General features: G+C 35.9%; 1 long non-coding RNA gene across 1 annotated transcript in view; it reads right to left on the reverse strand.

The window, feature by feature from the left end:
• MIR100HG (mir-100-let-7a-2-mir-125b-1 cluster host gene) overlaps positions 1 to 25,527 on the reverse strand; it is a 394,543-nt gene that overhangs the window by 20,754 nt on the left and 348,262 nt on the right. Inside the window, exons 2-3 of the long non-coding RNA NR_137178.1 lie at positions 17,054 to 17,352; positions 15,098 to 15,189 (exon numbers count right to left, since the gene is read on the reverse strand). This is a non-coding gene — a long non-coding RNA (mir-100-let-7a-2-mir-125b-1 cluster host gene). The remainder of the gene's footprint in view (positions 1 to 15,097; positions 15,190 to 17,053; positions 17,353 to 25,527) is intronic.

The following is a 25,527-nucleotide window of genomic DNA, read 5'->3' on the forward strand; positions in this document are numbered from 1 at the left end:
TCAGCCTCCTGAGTAGCTGGGATTACAGGTGCCTGCCAGCACGCTTGGCTAATTTTTGTATTTTTAGTAGCGATGGGGTTTCACGATGTTGGCCAGGCTTGTCTCAAACCCTTGACCTCAAGTAATCTGTCCACCTTGGCCTCCCAAAGTGCTGGGATTACAGACGTGAGCCACTCACCATGCCCGGCCTCTTCTCTTTTTTTAAAAAAAAATTTTGGACTGCGCACTGTGCCTCACGCCTGTAATCCCAGCACTTTGGAAGGCCGAGGCGGGCGGATCACGAGGTCAGGAGTTCAAGACCAGCCTGGCCAACATTGTGAAATCCCATCTCTATTAAAAATACAAAAATTAGCCGGGCGTGGTGCAGACGCGTGTAATCCCAGCTACTCGGGAGGCTGAGGCAGGAGAATCACTCGAACCTGGGATGCGAAAGTTGCAGTGAGCCGAGATCGCGCCATTGCACTCCAGTGTGGGGGACAAGAGCGAGACTTCTTCTCAAAAAAAACAAAAAGACAAAAAAACAAAAACAAAATTGTGGTAAAAGATGCATAGCATAAAATGTATCATCTTAACCATTTTTGAGTGTATGGTTCAGTAGCATTAAATACATTCCCATTGTTGTGCAACCATCACCACTATTCATCTCCAGAACTCTTTTCATTTTGCAAAACTGAAACTGAATCCCCATTAAACACTAACTCCTCATTCCTTCCATCCCCGGTCCCTGGAACCCACCTTTGTACCTTCTGTCTTTGTGAATTTGACCACAGTAAGTACCTCCTATACGTGGACTCATAGAGCATTTGTCTTTTTTGTAACTGGCTTATTTAACTTAGCATAATGTCTTCAAGATTCATGCATGTTGTAGCATATGTCAGAATTTCCTTCCTTTAAAAGGCTGAATGGTATTCCATTGTATGTATATACCACATTTCATTTGTCCATTCATTAGTTTCTTCTTTGTTGTAGTTCATCTGAAAAATGCTGGCAATCTGCATTTGAGTATTTGAATGTCAAATTGGCTTGAAGGAATAGAGGTGACAGATAATACATCCCTGTGTTTTTCCAAGTTTGTTTCTTTGTCTTTGTACTTATCTGACAGCCATGGCAGAGAACTCCACCTACAAAAGTGTGAGTCAAGCTTCCTATCAGGCCTGATTGGGAAAAACCCTGTTCCTTGTATGGATCTCAAAACTTTCCTTGTCAATCCCGCCACCCAATTCAGTATTTAACTGAGTTAACATGTAGCCACATGATACTAGCCATAATACTTTTTAGACATTATGCTCAAGCATCAGATTCTGCTAAGGTTTACGGGCAGGTGGGAGAGAAGAGGAACTCCAGACCACCACATTCAGACTGTTGGGTCTTGCAAGACAGTGAAGGAGCATTTGCTGCTTTCATTACCCTTACTCCAGCCCATGCAGCTGTTTCAGTGACTTCCTGCCATTCTTCTCTCCAGACTCACTCCTCTCTCACAGAGCACACCAAATCCCCCCTTTTCCTTCATGCCTCAACTACATTAAGTCCTCTCTCATAGCCCTAAAAAAAGTGAAGCACAGTGAACCCAGTAAAATGCATGCTTTAGGTTTTGTCTGTCTCTTACATTCAAAGTAAGTATTAGAAATAAATTTGACTTTTCTACACCAAGGTGAATTGCCCTCAAGTTCCTAAAAACAGCTGTTTTTTTTCACCTCTGTTCGACTTAATACTACAAGAACAGAGTCGGTTTCACCAAAGTTAGGATACATTGTTCCAATGGATGATCCTCCTGTATGCTAAAACAAGTCTCTTTTATTAATTTTAATTTGTATGGGTACATAATAGGTGTAAATATATTTATGGGTTACATGAGATATTTTGAAACAGGCATGCAATGCATAATAATCACATCAGGGTAAATGGGGTATCCATCACCTCAAGCATTTATCCTTTGTGTTACAAACAATCCAATTATATTCTTTCAGTTATTTAAAAATGTACTATTAAATTATATTTGACTGTAGTTACCCTGTTGTGCTAGCAAATACTAGGTTTTACTCATTCTTTCTATTTTTTGTACCTATTAATCCTCCCCACTTCCTCCCGCTCCCCAAACACACACACACACACACACACACACACACACACACACACACACTCTTCCCGCTACCTTTCCCAGCCTCTGGTAACCTTCCTTCTACTCTCTATCTTCATGGGTTCAATTGTTTTAATTTTTAACACCCACAAATAAGTGAGAATATGCAAAGTTTGCCTTTCTGTGCATGGCTTATTTCGCTTAACATTAATGATCTTCAGTTCCAACCATGTTGTTGCAAGTAACAGGATCTCATTCTCTTACATGGCTGAATAGTACTCTTTCATGTATATATACCACTTTTTCTTTATCCATTCATTGGTTGATGGACACTTAGGTTGCTTCCAAATCTTGACTATTATGAATAGTGCTGCAATAAACATAGAAGTGCAGATATCAGAACAATATATTCATTTTATTTCTTTGGGGTATATACCCAGCAGTGGGATTCCTGGATTATAATGGAGCTCTATTTTTAGTTTTTTGAGGAACCTCCAAACTGTGATTGTACTTATTTACATTCCCACCAGTAGTGAGTGAGGTTTCCCTTTTCTCCACATCCTCACCAGCATTTGTTATTGCCTGTCTTTTGGATATAAGCAATTTTAACTGAGGTGAGATGACATCTAATTGTAGTTTTGATTTGCATTTCTCTGATGATCATGATGTTCAACAAATTTTTATATGCCTGTTTGCCATTTTTATGTCTTTGGAGAAGTGTCTATTCAAATCTTTTGTCCATTTTTTAATCGTGTCATTAGATTTTTTTCCGATAGGGCTGTTTGAGCTCTTTATATATTCTGGTTATTAATCTTTGGTCAGATGGGTAGTTTGCAAGTATTTTCTCCCATTCTGTGGATTGTCTCTTCACTTTGTTGATATTTTCCTGTGCTGTGCAGGAGCTTTTTAATGTGATGTGGTCTCATTTGTCCATTTTTGCTTTGGTTGCTTGTGTTTGTGGGGGTACTATTCAAGAAATCTTTGCACAGTCCATTGTCCTGGAGAGTTTTCCCAGTGTTTTATTTTAGTGGTTTCATAGTGTGAAGTCTTATATTTAAGTCTTTAATCCGTTTTGATTTGATTTTTGCATATGGCAAGAGAAAGAGTTCTAGTTTCATTCTTTTGCATATAGATATCCAGTTTTCCCAGCACCATTTATTGAAGAGACTGTCCCCTCCCCAATGTGTGTTCTTGGCACCTTTGTCAAAAAGAAGTTCACTGTAGATGTATGCATTTATCTCTGCATCCTCTATTTTGTTCCACTGATCTATGTGTTAGTTTTAAGCCAGTACCATGCTGTTTTAGTTACTATAGCTCTGCAGTATAATTTAAAGCCAGGTAACGTGATTCCTCCATTTTTATTCTTTCTGCTTAGGATAGCTTTGACTATTCTGGGTCTTTTGTGGTTCCATATAAATTTTAGGATTTTTTTTATTTCTGTGAAGAATATTATTTATGTTTTGATAGGGATTACATTAAATTTGTAGATTGCTTTGTGTAGTATGGATATTTTAATAATATTGATTATTTCAATCTATGAAAATAAAATATCTTTCAATTTTTTGTGTGTCTTCTTAAATTTTGGGGGTATTTCTTAAATTTTTTTCCTCTTAAATTTTTTTGTGAGATTTCGTAAATCAGTGTTTTGAAGTTTTCATTGTAGATATCTGAAACAGTTCCCTTTAAAGCCTACCTTTAAAGTCTAATCGCTTATTAAGCCTACTATAAAACAATATTGTTTAAGTCATACTAAGTCATAAGAAGAAATACTGGTTTAGAAGAACATATATTCTAGTATATTCAATGTGCATGTGTTAATCAAACCTATGTTTTACAATTGACTGTGACTCAGTTTCCTCATCTACAAAATGAGATGAAATTTAGCACCTATCTCAAAGAACTGTCATGAGGATTAAATAAAAAACATTCCATGCTCATGGGTAGGAAGAATCAATATCATGAAAATGGCCATACTACCCAAGGTAATTTATGGATTCAATGCCATCCCCATCAAGCTACCAATTCCTTTCTTCACAGAATTGGAAAAAACTACTTAAAAGTTCATATGGAACCAAAAAAGAGCCCACATTGCCAAGTCAATCCTAAGCCAAAAGAACAAAGCTGGAGGCATCATGCTACCTGACTTCAAACTATACTACAAGGCAACAGTAACCAAAACTGGTACCAAAACAGAGATATAGACCAATGGAATAGAACAGAGCTCTCAGAAATAATGCCGCATATCTACAACTATCTGATCTTTGACAAACCTGACAAAAAGAAGAAATGGGGAAAGGATTCCCTATTTAATAAATGGTGCTGGGAAAACTGGCTAGCCATATGTACAAAGCTGAAACTGGATCCCTTCCTTACACCTTATAGAAAAATTAATTCAGGATGGATTAAAGACTTGAATGTTAGACCTAAAACCATAAAAACCCTAGAAGAAAACCTAGGCAATACCATTCAGGACATAGACATGGGCAAGGACTTCATGACTAAAACACCAAAAGCAATGGCAACAAAAGCCAAAATTGACAAATGGGATCTAATTAAACTAAAGAGCTTCTGCACAGCAAAAGGAACTACCATCAGAGTGAACAGGCAACCTACAGAATGGGAGAAAATTTTTGCAATCTACTCATCTGACCAAGGGCTAATATCCAGAATCTACAATGAACTCAAACAAATTTACAAGAAAAAAACAAACAACCCCATCAAAAACTGGGCAAAGGGTATGAACAGACACTTCTCCAAAGAAGACATTTATGAAGCCAAAAGACACATGAAAAAATGCTCATCATCACTGGCCATCAGAGAAATGCAAATCAAAACCACAATGAGATACCATCTCACACCAGTTAGAATGGCGATCATTAAAAAGTCAGGAAACAACGCGTCCTGGAGAGGAGGTGGAGAAATAGGAACACTTTTACACTGTTGGTGGGACTGTAAACTAGTTCAACCATTGTGGAAGACAGTGTGGCGATTCCTCGAGGATCTAGAACTAGAAATACCATTTGACCCAGCCATCCCATTACTGAGTATATACCCAAAGGATTATAAATCATGCTGCTATAAAGACACATGCACACATATGTTTATTGCAGCACTAGTCACAATAGCAAAGACTTGGAACCAACATAAATGGCCAGCAATGATAGACTGGATTAAGAAAATGTGGCACATATACACCATGGAATACTATGCAGCCATAAAAAATGATGAGTTTATGTCCTTTGTAGGGACATGGATGAAGCTGGAAACCATCATTCTCAGCAAACTATCACAAGGACAAAAAACCAAACGCCGCATGTTCTCACTCATAGGTGGGAATTGAACAATGAGAACACATGGACACAGGAAGGGGAACATCACACACGGGGGCCTGTTGTGGGGTGGGGGTAGCGGGGAGGGATAGCATTAGGAGATATACCTAATGCTAAATGACGAGTTAATGGGTGCAGCACAACAACATGGCACATGTAAACATATGTAACAAACCTGCACGTTGTGCACATGTACCCTAAAACTGAAAGTATAATAAAAAAATAACAATTAAAAAAAGAGCCAATGTGCTTAGCCCCTGAGTCTTAAATGGCTGACATTTAAGACTTCAATAAATGTTAGCTGTACTTGTATTAGCCACTTAAGTCAGTGTCTGTCATTTAGGGGGATTACCTGTCCTGATTTGCCTGGGACTCTTCCCATTTTAGCACTGCAAGCCTCACATTCCAGGAAACCCTTCAGGCCCAGGCAAATCAGGATAACTAGTTACCCTCCACCATACATGAAAATCCACAAATACTAATGACAGTCATTACTTCTTTAACACTATTGGAAAGCTCCTAAAAATAAAAAAATTAAAATTTTTAAAAAACTATTGCTTAAAGATACTATTTGTATGATAGTGGTTACATAAAAAATTATGAGTCTACTTGGACACCATTCATCACAAGTTGAGGATTAAAGTGAAGGGGCCCTAAAACAACCACTTTTTCTTGTTCATAGTTTCCAAGTAGACTGAAGATACTAAATAGATTAGTATATAATTTAACCTATGTAATATTCTTTTAAAATTAAAACATATTATCAAAATACATTGATATTTTAAAAACACTAAAATATTAAACAAATGAAATATGAATAAAACACAGAAAGTGTACCTTTTTTGTGTGTTTATGAATAACTTTAGTGTGACTCTCTCACAATGCTAAGCTCAGGTAGTTTTTAAACAAAATCTGATTAATAATCCTATGTTAGTATGTTTTTTAACCTGCTCTTTCCTTTGATTTCATAGAAAGTAGCTTTATTTTTCTCAGTTATTCTGAAGAAAATATCCCTTTTGTTATTTTTATTTTTAAATTCCTAAGTAGACCTTACCCATTGAGGGTCTCTACGGAACTCCATCTGTCTCTGAGAAACTCTCCTCCTTGCATTAAAATGAAATAATTCTGTTGTTAGCTGTCCTTTCAAGACTAAAGAATTGTGTGGCATCATTCTGCTGTAGCTGATTTCAAATAAAGTTCTTATGCTGGAGTTGGATAAATAACAACTTTTAAGAATCCAGAATTTTTTAAAATATAAAATTAACATAGGTTACATACAAAGTTAATCATTTAACAATTACAAGCAAACACATTTCTTCAAAATGTCTATATCATGTCAAAACAATTGGTCATATTGTAAAAAAATCAGCCAAATAAAATTTCATGAATGAAATTGATTACTAAAACCTTTTACTTTTTGATAAGTTGCATTTCTTTCATTTTGATATGACATAGCTTGGACATTTGTAGCTTCATGGGTAAAAAAAACTGTAATAGAATTTAAAAATCCTTAGATTTATATTTGTGTGTGTGTCTGTGTGTATGTGTGTGTGTGTGTGTGTGTGTCTGTGTGTCTGCAGCCATTTTTAATTACATACACACATCCTCAGATATCAAAGATTTATTTCAGGAGAAAGAAAAGAATATGCAATACATAGTATATCTATAGTTGTTATATTTAATACACTTAACAGTTTTTATATTTAAAATGTCTGGATGCAATTTCTCTTCAAAAATGTTAAATACCAAGGACACATCTATATTTTTTGGTAAGATACTATCTATTGAAAGTGCCATGCAGGACAGATATAAAAGTAGCTTGACCAAGTCTGAATTCTCACTAATCTCAGGTGAAGGAAGCCATTTGCTATTGATAAAGCTAGTTAATCTCCAGAGTACAACCTGGGCTTTATGTATTTTTAGATGAGAATCACAAAAATTGATCTGCACTTGCTTCTCATACAAGCTTCACGTGCCGGCTGCAATAAAATCTATGACTGTGATTCAAAGTATACTTCCAGTCTGCATGAAGAAAGAGACTCCAATGCTGCTAAAAATGAATTATCTTCTTTCTTCAATTTTGAAAATGCCTTAGAAAAATTAACTAATTAACAGATGCATCTGATGAGAATCCTGTAGACTATCACTCAGAGATCTTCTATTGTATATGATGTAATACATTACCACTACAATAGAAAATTATCTTAGCTCTTAACAATTCTTAGAAGCTATGTAGAAACTGAGACTGATTCCATGTAGCATTAAGAAAAAAGATTCCCAAGTAGCAAACTCCTTCATCCTTTACTTAGGCCAAGGAAATTATGACCTAAAAACAAAATCAAACAAAACAAACAAAAAAGAACCACAAGTTAAAAAAAGAAGAAACCTAACCCACAGGCGTTTACTTGCAGCTGAGATTGATCTTAAGGTTAGCAGGTATAAAACGTAGTAATGACTACTACCAATGCTGCTTTAATTTTTTGAAAGAGGAAATTCTCATGGGCTAGATGATTTTTGTGTGTGTGTGGGGGATGAATGATGGCTTTGTGTTCCTGAAATAGGAGGTTAGGAAGATGGGTTTTCAAATTCTTGGTTTATGCAGTGTGTAAATAGTGAAAATAGTTATTTATATTTACATCTTGATAAGACACAGGCTTTCTCTAAAACACATTCTACAATGTACCTAAAATCATGTTTTTTTCCAGCACCTAACACAGTACCTGGTACTCAAAATGCATCTGTTGAGGGAGTAGAAACATAAATGACACCCGATAAATATTTGTATTTATATTATCACAGAAGTCTATACATTTGCAACCTTGGTTTTGATCATGTCTACCAGGGTGTTACTAGGGACTCCACATGTACAAAGCCTAATTACAATGTACACTAGAGGAACTCTTAAGGCAAACTGCTATGTGTATCTGTACTATAGAAATCAAGTTCAAAATAGTACCAGATAAAATTTGGCTTAAATTTACGAACACATTTTTGTTTACAAGTTAATGTACATACATTTTTACTATTTGAATAAAACTACATGTGAATCATAGACCCATTTTTGTTCCATTGACTTGAACAGTACGTTTGACATCTCACAAATACTGTGAACAATGTTCTTTCCAAATCAACCGTATGAATACGGAGAACAAACCTACTTTTACATTGCAGTTCATGTAAAGTCTGCCAAGTCTAATACGGTATAATTGACTCTAGTTAGCTCTCTCACCAACGGAATTATTCTTTACCTTGGGTGAATAACACTTTAAAAAGTAATGTAGTTTAGAATTAAAAGAAAATAGAAAAAGTGTGCTTTCATTTTGGTTCCTCTAGCTACAGTTCTCACAGGGCTAAGTAAGATCCAAACTAGGAAAACTGACATAAAACATGAAATTGACAAGGAAGTTGCGTGCATAAAAGTAAATGACTGCTACCTCATGTGATTACTGAAACCTCATTATGTTCTACACACACACATTTATATACATACATTAAAACTAACTTACATATGTACAACAAACTTACTGGAGTGCAATTACTAAGGTGGTATGTCTGATTATGAAGAAAAGCATCCAGACCTATTCTTCAAAGAACTTGACAACTAAAATGGTTTGCATTAAAATACCTGCTTACCAGTGATGACAGAGTAACTGATACACAACTAATTTTCCTGTCATAAATAGCTATAAAATTGGACAAAGTATATGAAATAACCATTTTAAGATGTTGTACGACAGGCAATGCAAAATAGTGGTTACTGCATAAAGAAAACTAAAAAAAGTTAGCTCAACAATCTCCCTGGCTTTCTGTTTGGAGGCATTTTCTGAACTGCAGTGGAAGGAGAGGAAACCCAGAGCACAGTGGTAATTTTTTGGGCTAAGGGGAAAGAGAACAGAATTTGGAGCTCCAGTATTTGCTAGAATGTATGAGTCAGGGTCCAAATAAAAGGGAGCTGTACAGAGCAGGAGCTTCAGAAATCTATAATGAGGACCCTTGAGTGTTTGACGGGAAACACAGCTTCACATGGGCAAGCCAAGAAAATATGAGGTCCAGCATAGAACAACTACTGAGCAAAGACAGCTACTACAGGAAGAAAAACTACTGAGGAGCTGTGAATAGAACAAGTACTATAGCCTGCACAGGCTGAGAGACATTTAAGTTCCAACCAATTAGAGAGCAGAGACCTCTCTAAACACCCACAGTTCTTAGTAGAGTCCAGAAAGGCCATGCCTTAGAAGGAAAAATTTATCCCTAGAGTAAAGGCTACTCTAGGGCTGCTCTAACAAAATTTTACTAAGGATCAAAAGAATCAAGATGGTTTAATTTAACTGCTTTCTGGAACAAAACTTAACACTTTATTAAGAAGGAGACTAAAATCAGACACCATAGGAACTATAACGTTCAGCACAAAATCAGGAATTACTTGATGTGTAAAGACCGCAGCAGAATAGAAACAAACTCAGAAAAGAAAGAGATAATGGAATTAATAGAAAATAGCTTTAAAACAACTACTATTACTATGTTAAAGATTTAAAGGGAAATGTGAATAAAGTGAGGAAACAAGTAGAGAAACAGAATGGAGAATGGAAATTTTATAAAAGAACATAAAAGAAAAAAGAAATCCTCAGCTGGGTGTGGTGGCTCACACCTATATTTTCAGCACTTTGGGAGGCCAAACTGGGAGGATCACTTGAGGCCAGGAGTTTCAGACCAACCTGGTCAACATAGCAAGATGTCATCTCTAAAAATAAAATAAAATAAAATAAAATAATGCAATAAAATAGAAGAATAAAAAATAAATCATAGAACTTTGTTCCCCCCTCTAAAAAATACATGAAATGAAAATTTCCCTGGATGAGTTTAACAGCAAAAGAAAAGATGAGTGAATGTGAACAGAAAAATAGAAATGAGTCAAACTGAAGCAGAGAGTTAAGTGGACTGAAAAAATTAACTGAGCCTCAATGACCTGTGACAATATCTAATTACATGCATGGAATTGGCATACTAGAGGGAGAGACAAGAGGGGGAGAGCAGAAAAATGTTTGAAACAATGGTGGTTGAAGATTTTCTAAATTTGATAAAAACTATACACTCAGAGATCCAAAAAAGCTTAATAAATTCCAAGAAGGAAAAATCTGTAGAAAATAACTCCAAAGCATATCATCACTCATTAGCTGAAAGTCAGTAATAGTAAGAAAACTATTAAAAGAAGACAGAGAAAATAGACATATTACACACAGCAAAAACAATCATAAGAAAAACTACTGACTTCTCATTAAAAACAATGCAGGTGAAAAGACAATAGAAGGACAATTTTTAAGTGCTAGAAGGAAACTGTCAACAATCAATATCCAGTGAAAACTACTCCTCCAAAATGAAGAGAAAATAAAACTACTTTTTTTCTGCTTTCTTCATTTATTTTTCTCAGTAAAATTACACATGATTGGATGTTAGACAGTTTTCTTTGAATATTAGCTAGAAAATTTTGACATATTTTAGTGCCTGAGTCTTCATGATACATTATTTTTTTGACCAAAACAATTAATAAAAAACTAAAAATTTGTCACCAGCTGGCCTGCGTTACAAAAAATGTCAAAGGAAACTTTTAAGGTTGAAGGAAAATAATTTCAGATGGAAATTCAGTTCATAAAGGAATAAAAAGCGCTTGGAATAGCCATTAGATAGGTAAATATATAATATGTTTTTGTTTTTTAATTTTTTGAAAGATAATTCATTGTTTAAGGAAAAAATAATACCAATGAATTGTGAGGTTTCTTTAAACATGTAGAAGTTAAATGTGTGACAAAAATAGAAAAAAGTACAGGAGGGGAAACTTTTAATTTCCTTGTGTTTTACAAACAGTGGGATAGTATTAATGCAAGGCAGACTATGATAAGTAAAAGATCCATATGTAAGTCCTGTAACAACCATTAAAAATAACATTAAAAAATAAATACAGTGATATATATATATATATATATATATATATATATATATAACCAATAGGAGATGTAAAATGGAATAGTAAAAAATAATCTAAAATTAGTCAGAAAAGAGGGGAAAAAAGAATAAAATACATATGGGAAAAATATAAAACAAATAGCAATATGGAAGTCTTTAGTCCAACTATTTTAATAAACATATTAAATGTAAATGAACCAAATATTTTACTAAAAGGTGAAACTGTGAGACCTTATTAAAAAGCATCACCAAATATGTGCTATTTACAAGAGACTCACATATAATGTAAAGACACATTTAGCTTAGAAATGAAAATGATTGGAGAAAGGTATACTATGAAAACACTAATTCTAAGAATGATGGAGTAGCTCTAATTATATTAGACAAAGAAGACTTCAGGAAAATTAGTTTTACCAGAGATAAAGAGGGATATTTCATAATGATAAAAGTGTCAAATCATAAAGAAGCCACAGTAATCATAACAGTGCATGCATCTAATAACAGAGCATCAAAATTCATGAAGCATAAATAAATAGAACAAAAAAGAGAAATAGACAAATTCAAAATTACATTTGGAGGTTTTCACACTCTTATCTCAGTTGACAGAATAACTAGACATAAAATCAATAATCATATAGAAGGTTTGAATCATCCTATCAACAAACACAATTCTAAGTATGTTTATAAAACACTCTTCCCAACAATCAGAAAATCCACATTCTTTTCAAGTGTTCATAAAACATTCACCAAGATAAACCTTGTGCTAGGCCATAAGACAAATCTCAATATGTTTAAAATAATTTAAATCATTTAGAGAATGTTCTCTGACCACAACAGGATTAAATTAAGAATCAATTGCAAAATGTATTTGAAAAATCTTTCAATATCTGGAAATTAATTAAAATGCTTACTAAGACATAGGTCAGATACAAAATTAAAAGGAAATTAGAAAATATTTTGAACTAAATGAAATAAAAATATGACATATCAAAATTTGTAAGATGAAGTTAAAGCAGAAAGAAACAAGGTTTTAAATATTTACATTAGGAAAAAAGAATGGTTTAAAAACGGTGATCTAAGAGTCTGCCATAAGGAACTAGAAAAATCAGGATAAATCAACCCAAAGTAAAAATGAGGAGGGAAATAATAAGGATAAGAGCAGATATTTCTTAAATAGAAAATTGACAAATAATTGAAAAACTAAAAAAAGTTAATTCTTTTAAAAGATTAATAAAATTGATACCTCCTAGCTATACTCATTAAGAAAAAAGAGAAAATATAAATTATCAATATTACAAATGAAAAAGGAAATATTATTACAGATTATTCAAACCAGAAACACAGTAAGTGAATACTATTAACAACTTTGTGAGTAAAAATTTGGCAATTTACATTAAAAGAACAAGTCTCTTGAAGAATACAATTAAACTTAACACAAGAAGAAATAAAAAATCAGAATAGCCCTATATCTATTAACAAATTTATTCATAATTTTAAAACCTTTCCACAAGAAAACTCCAAACTTAGATGGCTTCACTGGTAAAGCCTATCAATTAAGAAAGAAATAATACAAATTGCATTTAAACTCTTTCAAAAATATAAAAGAAAGGAACACTTCCCAATTCATTTTATGAGGCCAGTGTTAACTTGATACCAAGCCATTCACATACATTACAAAAAAAGAAAGGTACAGATTAATACCTTTCAATAACACAGATACAGAAGTCCTCAAGAAAATATGATCAGCCCAAATCCAGGAATACATAAAAAGGCGAATACATCATGACCTAGTGGGATTATACCAGAAATCCAAAGCTGTTTTAACACTCAAAATAAAATGAATGTTAGTAAACATATTGGCAGGATAAAATAATGAAAAATCACTTGATTATCTCATTAGTTGAAGAAAAAGCATTTGATGAAATTCAACAGCCAACTATAATGATAGCAGTAACAATAATAGTAACCACCAGAAAATTAGATATAAAAGAAAATTTTCTCAATCTGATAAAGTCCACTTATTTTTTACAAATAGAAATAATACTATATTTAATTATAAAATACTGAATGCTTTTCCCTTAGGAAACAAAGCAAGGATGTCCATTCTTAGCACTCTTATTCATCCTTGTACTAGAGGTCCCCAGCCAGTAAAATAGGACAATATAAATAAACAAAATGCATAAGGACCGAAAAGAAAAGAGCAAAACTCTTTTGAATTACTGGTGACATAATATATAGAAAATTCTAAGGAGTCTTTAAAAAAATCCTAATAAGCTGATTTAGTATTATCACAGAATACAATGTTTACATACAAAAGTCAATTGCTTTACTGCATACTAGCAATCAAAACTTGAAAAATGAAACTATAAACATACCATTTACAATATCATAAAAACAAAAAAAGTATAGAAATTGGAAAAGTGTGGTATTGCTGTAAAGATGAACGAATAGATTAATGAACCACACAAACACACCGCAAACATCTACCAGCTGCTCAGTTCACCCACATCCACCCGTGTATTATGAGTCAAACACAACCTCATCTGGTGTTACTCTGTCTCATTTCAGATAACCCACCTTCTTCCACCAGACAAGAACTGAAAGTTGAAAATAAATTTACACCTATATGATCTATTAATTCTGAACAAGGTGTGGCCTCTAGACGCTGAAAAGGGCAAGAAAATGAATTTCTCACTAGAGTTTCCAGAAGAAATGGAGCCATGCCAACAGCTTGATTTCAGCCCAGTGAGATCCATGTCAGAATTCTGACCTCTAGAACTGTAAGATAATAAGTTTCTGTTGTTTTAATCCACTAAACTTGTGTTCATTTTTGTTAATTAGAAATAGGAAACTAATAAACTAGCTCAAGAAATAGTATCTTCATTAATTTATTTAGATAATTTTCAGATAATATTACTCTGTGAGTCTGTTTCATGCCAGCACTGACCTAGGCATGGAGATTTGGGATTAAAATGCATAGCTCTTAACTTGAAAGTTGGGATCTAAAAGCAATGACAAATAATTCCTTCCAAATGTAGCAAAAACTATGATAAAGCTAAGCACAAAATGCTGTGAGAGCACGTATAAGAGGCATTTAACCAAACTGAGGAGGAAATAATAGCCAGGAAGACTTCCTGAAAGAAGTGATATTTTAACCAAAGTCTAAATGATTAGTAGAAATTAATCTGGCAAAGACGGAAAGTGAGAATTTAATAAAAGTAACGTTGAGTTCTAAGAGCCATAAGAGAACTTGGCACATCCAGGGAACTGTGAGTAGTTTGCTACTCACCGAGAAGTAAAATGAAATGCATAAGCAATCATGGGCAAATATACAGTTAAGATGTAAACCTTAAGCAGAAAGAAATTATTAATATTGATTTAATTATTATTGAGTTATCATTTACCTGTTGCAAAATGCAGATTTTAGGGGTTACAGTATGATTATATTTGGCTATTGAATTTGCTTACATAACCCATATCCCAACAAGATACAGTCAATTCTACCCTAATATGAAATATGCATTCCTAAAAATCGCCATTGCCACATAAAATCATGCAATAAAAGTCACATCATAAGGTTTAGCACAAAAATGAGACTGGGCAAAACATTCAAACACTTCATCAGTGACACATAAAAATATGTAGGAGCCTAATAAAAACACTAGTGCAGTTTTACACATGTTATGCGATTAGGAAGTTCATAAATGCTACAATAAATATGGCACTTTACCTTGAAAAAGGCCTGAAGCTGGTTTGTGTGGGAGTGGACATCAGAAGGGTTGCAGCTTGTGAGTTTTTGTGAGGTGGAGGAAGGAGGGTTATCTGAAAGCAAAGTTGATCTTATAAAAATTTTAAAACATAGGCATTCAGCATCAGGCTTTTATAAGCATAAAAATGATCAGAACTATAGTCACTAGACATATTAGCAATTGTTCTTACAAGGACCAAAGCTTGGCCCAAAGAAGGAAAAACCTTTCTCCTGATTTTCTCATTGTCAAACTGACGCAAATAGGCTCTTCCTAACTGTTTTTATTTATATAATAAGGATAGCCAAAGGAAAAGAAACACAGGATAGAGGGATGTAAACAAGATGGCTTAATAATCAGAGGGGTCTGAACCCATCATAGTTTATTTGTGTGAATGCTGTCTCAAAGTAATTACTGTTTATAGGCTCAAAAATGGCAAGATTTTGCAGGCACTTGACTGTGTCCTTCACGTTTTAACTCCCAACACAATTCTTTGGTCTTTCTTTTTTGACACCTTTATCCCTGTGTTAATATCTAATCTAAAGCCTAATATCAGTGTCTGTTCTAAGAAAGCTGCTTTTTCTTTAGTTGAATAACACCTTTCAGATGAGACCTTATTTTATATCCACAGGGATGGGGGCAGATCATATAAAATAACAAAGAAACACTAATCTGGTAGTTAAGTAACCTAAATTCTTGTCCTGGTTTTCTCACCAACTTAAATTCTGAAATCTCATCTGCAAAAATAAGGTGATTAACCTTGTCTGTCTTTAAGGTCCATTTAAGTTCTATACTTCTATGACCATTATTAACAAACATTATTGAGATCCTTCTAGGTGTAGAGTGTTTATCAAACAATCTATCCTCATTTTTTACAAGATAAGAAAGCTCAGAAAGGCCAAGTGACTTGCTAATGTCACACTTCCAGTAAATGGCAGAGCTCAGATTCACTTGCATGTCTTGTCCACAAAACAAATGTCTTTGCAAATGCCACACTGTTGTCCTTAAAAAAATGGCTATCATATCACAGACAGAAAAGATCCCATGTGATGGACTCCTGGGTGCCCAGCACCTCCACTCATTCAAGTGGTTTCCTTAGGAGCTGTCATATTTTATAAGATCCTGGCAGCTTAGCCTCTGTTGGTTAGTTCAGGGTGAGACATGACCCAAATTAGGAAAGTAAGATTCTTTCAGATAATTTGGAAATATGAAAGGAAGTTAGTATGTCTGAGATGATTGAAGCCATACAATAAAAAACTCAAAAGATGTTAGCAGCAATGTTTGCTGCCAAGTGAAGAATGCCAGTTTTCAATGACAGTGAAGCAGAGAGGAAAGAGACCGATATGGTTTGGCTGTGTCCCCACCCAAATCTCATTTTGAATTGTAATTCCCATAATCTCCACGTGTCTTGGTAGGGACCTGGTGGGAGGTAATTGAATCGTGGGGGCAGTTATCCCCATGCTGCTGTGCTCATGATAGTGAGTGAGTTCTCATGAAATCTGATGGTTTTATAAGGGGCTTTTCCTCCTTTGGCTCGGCACTTCTCCTTGCTGCCATGTGAAGAAGGATGTGTTTGCTTCCACTTTTGTCATGATTGTAAGTTTCCTGAGTCCCCCCCGCAGCCCTGCAGAACTGTGAGTCAATTGAACCTCTTTCCTTTATAAATCAGCCAGTCTCAGGTATGTCTTTATTAGCAGTGTGAGAATAGACTAACACAGAGGGAGAGTTCTGGCAGAATTTGGACCTGAGTTCTGGTTGCCCATGACATCCCGCTGCACTTTCAAACAGCTCAGTCATTCCTTCCTCCTTTGCACTCCATGTGCTAATAGGTCCTCTTTTTTGCTTTGATTGTTGAAGGACCCTATGTTAGCTTCCCATGGCTATTGTAACCAATTACTACAAACTGAATGGCTTAAAACAACAGAAATATATTCTCTCACAGTTCTGGAGTCCAGAAGTCCGAAATCAAGGTATTGACAGGGTTAGTTCCTTCTGGAGGCTCTGGCAGAGGACTCGTTCTCTGTGTCTCTCAGCTTCTCATGGCTGCTGGCAGCCCTTGGCATTCCTTGGCTTGCAGGCTCATCACTCCTGTCTCTGCCTCCATCTTCATGTGGCCTCCCCGACTGTATCTCTGTGTGTTTTCCCCCTTTCTTTTCTCTTTCAGGTAATCTTGTTTTTGGGCGTAGGCTCCACCCTTATCCAGGACGATATCCTCTCGAGATCATTAGCTTAACTGTATCTGCAAAGACATTTTTCCAAACAAGGTCACATTCACAGGTTCTGGGAGCCTCTTTTGGGGGGCCACAATGGACCGCTAGCAAAAGAGAATTGCAAATTGTAGTGGTGACTAGTTTCAAAGTTTAGTGCTACCCATCCTAGTGAAGTTTTTCATGTTTAATTACACTTTCCCTGCTGCTACCGCTACCTATTTTTTTTTTCCCTGTAAGGTCATTTAGACATTTAACAAATATAGCACTATAATCAGAAGAATGAACTGTGTTGGCAAATATGCAAATACATCTATGAATATTTTAGATTTATCTTTTTGTGTTGCAAAGGCAAGCAAGATGACCAAATGATTTCAGTTTTCTTAGTTCAGTGATGCCAGTGGTAGATAACTGCAGATAAGGTAGATAAACTGTCCTATTCCACTTATATCTTCCATGCACTGCTGAAAATTCATTTGTGCCCTTTCATTGCTTCAAGAATGGTATTATAACACCTTCAAGAATGGTTTACTAGAAAGTTCTGATGTCTAGACACCACATAGGTATGTTCTGATTTGTTTTGTTTTTGAATAAACGACAAAAAAGAGGAAGTGTGTTGGTGTTTAGTGCTTTAACCAATATAAGTTGCCTTCTCTTTCAGAGAAATGTTCCCTATTATATAAAGTCAATTTCCATGTAACCAGCTATTTGCTGGGGTAACAAATTTACCCCATCCTGGAATCTCAAATAAAAAATCCATTGTAATGCCATTATATGACCAGTTTTATGTTTACTAGCAGCTGTCTTCCCATCTTCGCTATTGTAGAGTAAAACTATTGTACTGGTATTAAAAAAAACTCCTGTAACAACAACAAACATACAAAGACCCTGGTTTACAAGAGTTGTTTTATTAGGAAAATAACTATGGGATGGATTCAATAAAAAACAAAAACCATGCCTTCCGCTCAGTATAATCTTACCGATGCTGTCCATCTTCCTGATTCACTGCTGAGGTACTGCTTTACCTTACAGAAGGCATCCAAAACGTTTAAACTTTGTGTTTTCTGTATTCTGACGGTTTCACAAGGCAATTTCCAAATGCATACTGTCTTTAGAAATAAAGTTTGAATTCAGACGGAGCTCAACTTGAATCAATCATACAAGCATTGTATCTGATAATTATATAGATTCTCCCGGAATGGATGTAATGATGCCTCTTCCTTAAGCCCCTTTACCTTGCTATGTTGTAAGCAGTCTCCTTTGTGTATTATAGCACCCTGTTTTAACACAGTCAGTCCAAAAATAGGAATGCCAAGCTCTTGCAATGTAAAATCTCTTAGTGTGGGACTAAAAAAGAAGATATAGCTTTCACAGAGGGACAAAAATGCTATAAACATGTGATGGCTGATTTGTTTGTGGTAGAGTTAATTACTTCTTTGTTAATTCCTGATAGAATTTAGAAGGCTCTTTAACAACTCACTTTTGGCTGTTTATGTATCTTTTTCTTTAAAGAGCCACAGATGATTAAGTTAAAAAAAAAATCCATACTTTTTGGTAGGTAACCGTTTTAGCTGACATTATAATTTTCCGTCCTCAAACTGACTTTATCCTTTTTAATGATGTTCATGCTCTTAATCAGGACTATATAAACAATCCATATTACAAATTTCATACAGACATATGTGAACATTTAACAGGCTTTGGGAGACATTTGCAGTGTAGAATATCTAGCTGGATTTTCTTCCTTGGAGATTATCCTGTACTAGTAACAAGCAGAGAAAATATTTCCCACGCCTGTGAGTATTTAGGAGTTCCTTTGTGTGCCTAGATCTTTTTTTCCCCATACAGGGGAAGTGGTGTGCACTGGGGGTAGGCAGAAGAAAAATGACAAGAAGCAAAAGCTTTGCTGCTGTGGGATCAAATTCCAAGCAGAATTCCTTCATACACTTCCATTTCTGTGAAAGTGCGGTGTGGTGTTTGTTTTCACTGTATCTGCTCGCTTAATTGTTTCTGCCTGTTCATTTCGTTCCTCAGTGAAAACGTTAGCCTAAGGGACATTTGAAAATCAAAAGGTAGGCTTGGAGTTTAACAGGAAATGAACAGTGGTGTTGCTGCAACATTAAAGTAAAAGTTTAGAACCAATAAGAAATAACCACAATTCTAAACTCAACACGTCTTTTCTCCTTTTTGTTGTTTCCTTTGCTCTCCCAAATGTCAAGATTAAAGAAAAACATTCCATGGTTTCTACATGTTTACATTGCAAGGACGTATAAAAGATGCTGTGAGGTATGCATTAAAAGAACTTATCTTAGATACGGCAAAAATCCAGAGATTTTGAATTATTATGCAGGAATATATAAAATCCAGGACAGATTTCCTGACAGCTATAATTATTTAATTCTTTTAGAATTATCTTTTTCCACCCCCAAACCTCCTCTTGCCAGAATTGTTGAGATAATTAAGGAAGTAGTGGGAAGGTTAGAATCTGAACCATTTCAAAACCAAAACTGACCAGACAATTGTCCAACTCTGTTTCACTTACAATGCAGGACTATGACTTCTGTGTTGGCATGTGTGTGCTAAAGTTTGACCTCTGGCAGGGAAATTGTCTTCAGACAGAATAGAACTTGAACTTCAGAAGTCCAGTGGTCCTCATTGTAGTTGCCCATTTGCACTCAACGTAGCATGGCTTAATTGCAACAAATATCAGTTATGCTAAATGCTGGTATTCTAACAGCTCAAGGTGAAGTGTTGTTACCGTCCACCTTTTCTCTGATCACTGAGACAAAAGATCAAACAGAAATATTTTAAAAAACACTCGCAGAGGATCATCTCAACTTAAAATACTGCCTCTTTTATGACCACATTCTCCATCTTAACAAGGAAATCAAACAATTCAAGGGGAGAAAAGCAAAGAAATCCACAGAGAAAAGTTGTTTAAAATTGCCCACTGGATACAGCCATTGTAAGAGTTGAATAATGAGGTGGGAAAATATCAGACTTAAAAAAAAAAGCCTAGATATTTAAACATACAAAAGTTATCACACCATTTATTTTTGGAAATAATTTGGGTTAATCCAAATAGCCATGATGAGGAATAGTTGAATAACAAGTAATTACCTTTTCCTGCCTTTGAAGAACAATGGATTTGGGATGAATCCAAATTTGTAAAAAGCAATCATGATTTTATATTCAATTATCTCACGGAAAGATCTCTGCAGTTTTGCATTAGTTTCTTGATGCTATACTTCATGGGCACTGCACACTTGGAGAAATAATCAAAACTTATTAATGTATTCAATTATTCATTGATTATGTATGGCACTCACTAGTTTTAAGAATAGCAGGTCAACAGAACTATTGATTAGAAAAAAACATTTTTGGAAGAAAAACTGGCTCTCTTAGCTACCTTTGCAGTGGTCATTCTCCGTGGAGAATGTAATCATTTGGTTGTTTCTATTGCTGGAGTGGAAGCGGTGTTTGTGGTGGTGGGTGGGAGCATGACACTAGGTATATGTCTGAAACGGGGAAGCAAGGCAAATGGACAAATTGCAAGTTAAATACTTTAGGAGGGAGGGGACGTATTTTTACAGGTATCAGTTATTGTCCTTACAAGTAATAAATAACGCTAAATAAAACATGTAACTAAATGGGCATTAAAGACCTTTTACATACATAGAAGACAAGAAACGCTTTTTTTCCTCCTATGCTGCAGACTGCAGGCATTTTCCTCTGCCTCTGTCAAGTGTAATTCTTTCTTGATGAATGACAAGGCAGGATAATAGGCTGTGGTCGCCATGGCAACCAGACAGCAGCACTGTGTGCCTAGCATTTTTTCATCTGAAAATGAAACCAGAAGCAAAGAAAAGCTGAAAATGTAACCAACAGATTAACTGATACAAAAAAAGAAAAGAAAGAAAGGAAGAAAAAAGGAACAAAAAGGCAAGTTAGATTACAAGCAATTAAAATTACAGTACCTAGTCTTTCCCTCTCTCTCTCTCACACACACACACACACACACACTGACTAGCTATTTTTAAATACTATTTGAGAAACATGAAACAATCATGTTTTATCTTTATTTTTCCAAATGCTTCATTTGTTTTTGAAATCTAGGAAGAATTGATTTTTAAAGGGGCATTTAAATTCATTAATCACTGAAATTTATTAAGCTTTATGTATTGTGTTTGTATTGGAATTTCTAAATTCCTTTTCTCTCTAGCGCCCATCCCAGAACTATCCAGAGACCAAATGCTTAACGTGCAACAGTTTTATCTGGATGCAGGGTTGGTGGGGTGGGGTGAGGGAGGCAAGGTGACTTGAAGCTGAGAAATAAGAGGGCAATATTATATTAGCACTCATGGATTCTATAGACTTCACTCAAAGTATTTACTAAGCAATCAGAGTTGCTTTTCTATTCAGCAAAAGGAAGGCTGCAATTTTCTGCTATATCCCCATTCCTAAGCATAAGAAGGTTCCTGGATCCTCATTCAATATATTGCATATTCTGTCCATATAATTTCCTTTCATTTACTGATCTCAAAACTTGTATTGAAGCTTTCCTGTGAGATCTTCTCGGTCTCTACTGAACACAAATAAAAGAAAACAGACATAAAAGAGTATTTTCTGAGAGCTGCTGTCCCTTTACACCGCAGGTTTGGTAGAGGCAAAGAACACTGAGCTAGAAGTTAGAGGACAAAAGTCCTGTGAGGGGTGCAGCTTTGCAACTGCAGGCCAAAGAGCAAACCAAACAGGCCTCGGAATCAACATACTTGAGTTTGAATCTTAGCTCCATCCTTTTGGTAATCATAGTTTTCATAATAGGTAATATGATAATAGGTATCTGTTACAAATGAACCAGAGAGTTCTTAAACTCTCTGAGTGTCAGTAGTTTTCATCCTTAAAATGGGCAAATCTTATCTACTTCATGGGAATGAGAGGATTCATGAGATCATCTGTTGAAAGTGTCTGGTATATAATAGGAGTCACTTAAAGATTCCTCCTTCCTGTAATCCAAACACCCAGTTTTCTAATATGTGTAATAGAAATGTCTGTACTGTGTGTGTGTGTGTGTGTGTGTGTGTGTGTGTGTGTGTGTGAGAGAGAGAGAGAGAGAGAGAGAGAGAACGTATACATAACCACCTGTTTTGGAACGATGTAAATCAAATAAGTTACTCTATGTGAAATGATTCAAGGGTACAATGTGGTCATGAAAATGGAAGACAGTGTCACCAAGAGATGTTGACAAACCTCTTTTCCAGAAAAATCCTAAAGAAAGGTGTCCGACTCCAACCCGCCCTGAGGCAGAGAAAAAGATTGACCAGCCAAGTCAGGGCTCCTATTGCAGGAACTTTCCCTTTATGACCAGGAGACTGAAATGTGAAAGAGGCCCACAGAGCAACTTCCGGGAAGGTGATGAGCACACGGGGGCGTCCGAGCAGGCTAGGGCCATGGGTCCAGCGAGCCTCGCCACAGAGCATGCACTCCCGTCCTCCCTCTAACGTACCCAGTGTCTGTGCTGGCCACCCACAGCAAGGCCTCATAAATCCTTCCTTTGTCCCCATTTCCCTAACACACACAAATGCAAAGTGAACAGTTGGATCAAAGCTTTTAATGTGCTTTGTACTGTTTTATTTGAAGAGATCAGGTCTGATATTTGAGAGGAAGAGTCCATCTGGCTGGGCTGAGCTCAAGGAGCCTCAGACAAATTGTAAACAAGACCGGGGCACAAGCTCCTCTCACAGCCCACAGCCTGCCACTGCCATTGCCAAAGCACTATCCCACGCTAGCAAGGTTTTCCTGACCATTCATGCAAAAGGAGCTTAGTTACCAAAATGGACCCTCTTACAGGATTTCCTAAACTTTTCTAGCACATCTTGCAAATTACCACTGGCAGTCCTGTCTAAGCTTCTAATGGCCTAACATCGCACCTATATTTTTTAATTTTCCAACAGTAGATATCATGGTGAATTGCATAGTGTTAAGATCCTCAGTTGTTCAAATAAACTCCCCTAGTAGAGAGAGAATGTGAAGATTGAAGATTGGAGAGAAGGGAATAATTACTTTATTAAATGTGATGTACATTTCTAAAAAATAAAATTAAAGCTTACACTGTTTACTACCTTTGGAATACAAAGAAGGGACATATTAGTTGCATTTCTTCTGTCCCAGCATTTATCACACTTGACATCATCATTTATGCAGTTATCTGTTCTTGCTGGATTGTGCGCTCTTTACCGAGGGAGCCATGCCTATCTTGCTTCTTGACACATCCCCAGGACCTAACAGGTACTTGGCTTATGGTAGGCACTTAATGAATATTTGTCAATCAAATGACCGAACTTTGAAGTCAGACACACCTATATTTGTACTGTTGCTCCGCAACTCCTTAGTCCTGACCATGAGCACCTTTATTTCTCTGAGCCTGATTTCTTCTCCGTAAAATAAAGTGATAATTCTTCACATAATTGTTGTGATTTCTAAATAAGAAACATGATATTTGAAAATGCTTAGTGCCTAGCATAACATAGTAGATATACAACAGCGATTAGTTTTTCTTTAAAAAATTTAAACTGCTTTGATGAATTTTTAGTGAGTTGCTTGCCATTCCAAAAGATCTTTCCTGATAGTCTTTGGAAACCCATACAATGCTGGTAGAGGGGTAATAGGTTTATAAAAGATTCATTCCCCAAAAGTGTGTATGTGACCCTAAAAGTGTGTATGTGACATGTCACCATGTCTTTTGCAAGCACAGAAGAGCAAATGTCATCTGTAATTAACTAGAACAGGGCAGGTTTGAATTTGACTGGAAAGACCAGGATGGAAAGTGAATGTAGACCCCTGGGGTTGCAGAGGGTGAAGGACCAGAAATAAACGCACAGCAGTACAGCCATTAATCTAGGGATGACCACCTGTGTTGGAGCATCTGGAGAACAAATCACAGATAGCAAAATTGTTCTGAGGCACAAGACAAGTGGGATGCACGCAATGTCAGTTGAAATCAAAGATAAAACTAACATTCAGGCAACATTTATTAAGCACCCACTGCATATGGGAAAATGAATAGGTGCATTCGCATGTGTATATCCCTAAACTTAGGAGGCAGTTGCACAGCAGTAAAGCACAGATTCAAAAATCAGATGCCAGGGTTTCTGTCCAGGCTCTTCTACTTAATAGTATGACTGGTACATTATTTAAATTCTCATATCATGATTTCCTCACCTGTAAAAGGGGGATAACAATAGTACCTACTTCACAAAATGTTTGTGGTCATTAAGTGATTCGATACACATAAAAACACTCAGAACAGGGTCTGCACATAGAAAGGATTCAATAAATTTTCATTATTGTGGGTTGATTTGTATTAATTCATTTTTTAACCTTCATTAGAGCTAACAGAGATTGTCAACTTATGACAGAAAAGAGCTGTAGACCTGGGATCAGACGACTTGGGTTTGAAAATCAATTCTGCCATTTACAAGCCTCAGTTTCCTCATCTGAAAATAGAAGGAAGAAGACCTGGCTTGAAAGATGTGCTATGAGTTGTCTATTTATTTAAGGAGACCAAGATCAAGTGTGTCAGTTGAGAACATGCAAATGATAAGCAGAGTTTTAAACTGCAGGCAGTGAATATCAGGGACACTTAGTAGATGATTTCAGGCCAGAGCAGCAGAGGTTAAAGTCCCTGCCCTTGGACACTAAGGAATAGGTAATAAACATCAGAGACAGGAGTCTCTGACATTAGCACAACAGCCAACTTAACCCTGAGACACAGTGGTGCTAAATTACTTTTCCAAATTCACAATTCAGATGAGGTCACCATTCTCAAAGGCCTCCAATGACTCCACCCTGGCCTAAGAATAAAAATCTAAGCTCCTATGACCAACATTCAATTTCTCCCAGGACCTGCTTTCAGTCTTCAGTTTCTGCACCATCTCCCTTTTGAGATTACTAAGATATTGACTATTTACTATACATGCACATGACTTTCTACAGATAGAGGTACAAGCTTTTGATCTCACTCTTGCTTCCATCTAGAACACTGTTTCTTCCCATCTCCATCTGTCCAAGTTTCCCATAACCACCAAGTCTCAGCTAAAGGCTGCTTCCTCTGTAAATCTTTCTCCAGTCCTCCAAGCTCAAAGTGCTCTCTTGAGCACTGAACAGTTTCTATTTTGTATTAGAATCATGTATGTTTCTGTATCTGC

The sequence above is a fragment of the Homo sapiens genome, chromosome 11, assembly GCF_000001405.40.
Source record: "Homo sapiens chromosome 11, GRCh38.p14 Primary Assembly".
Lineage (NCBI taxonomy): Eukaryota > Metazoa > Chordata > Mammalia > Primates > Hominidae > Homo > Homo sapiens.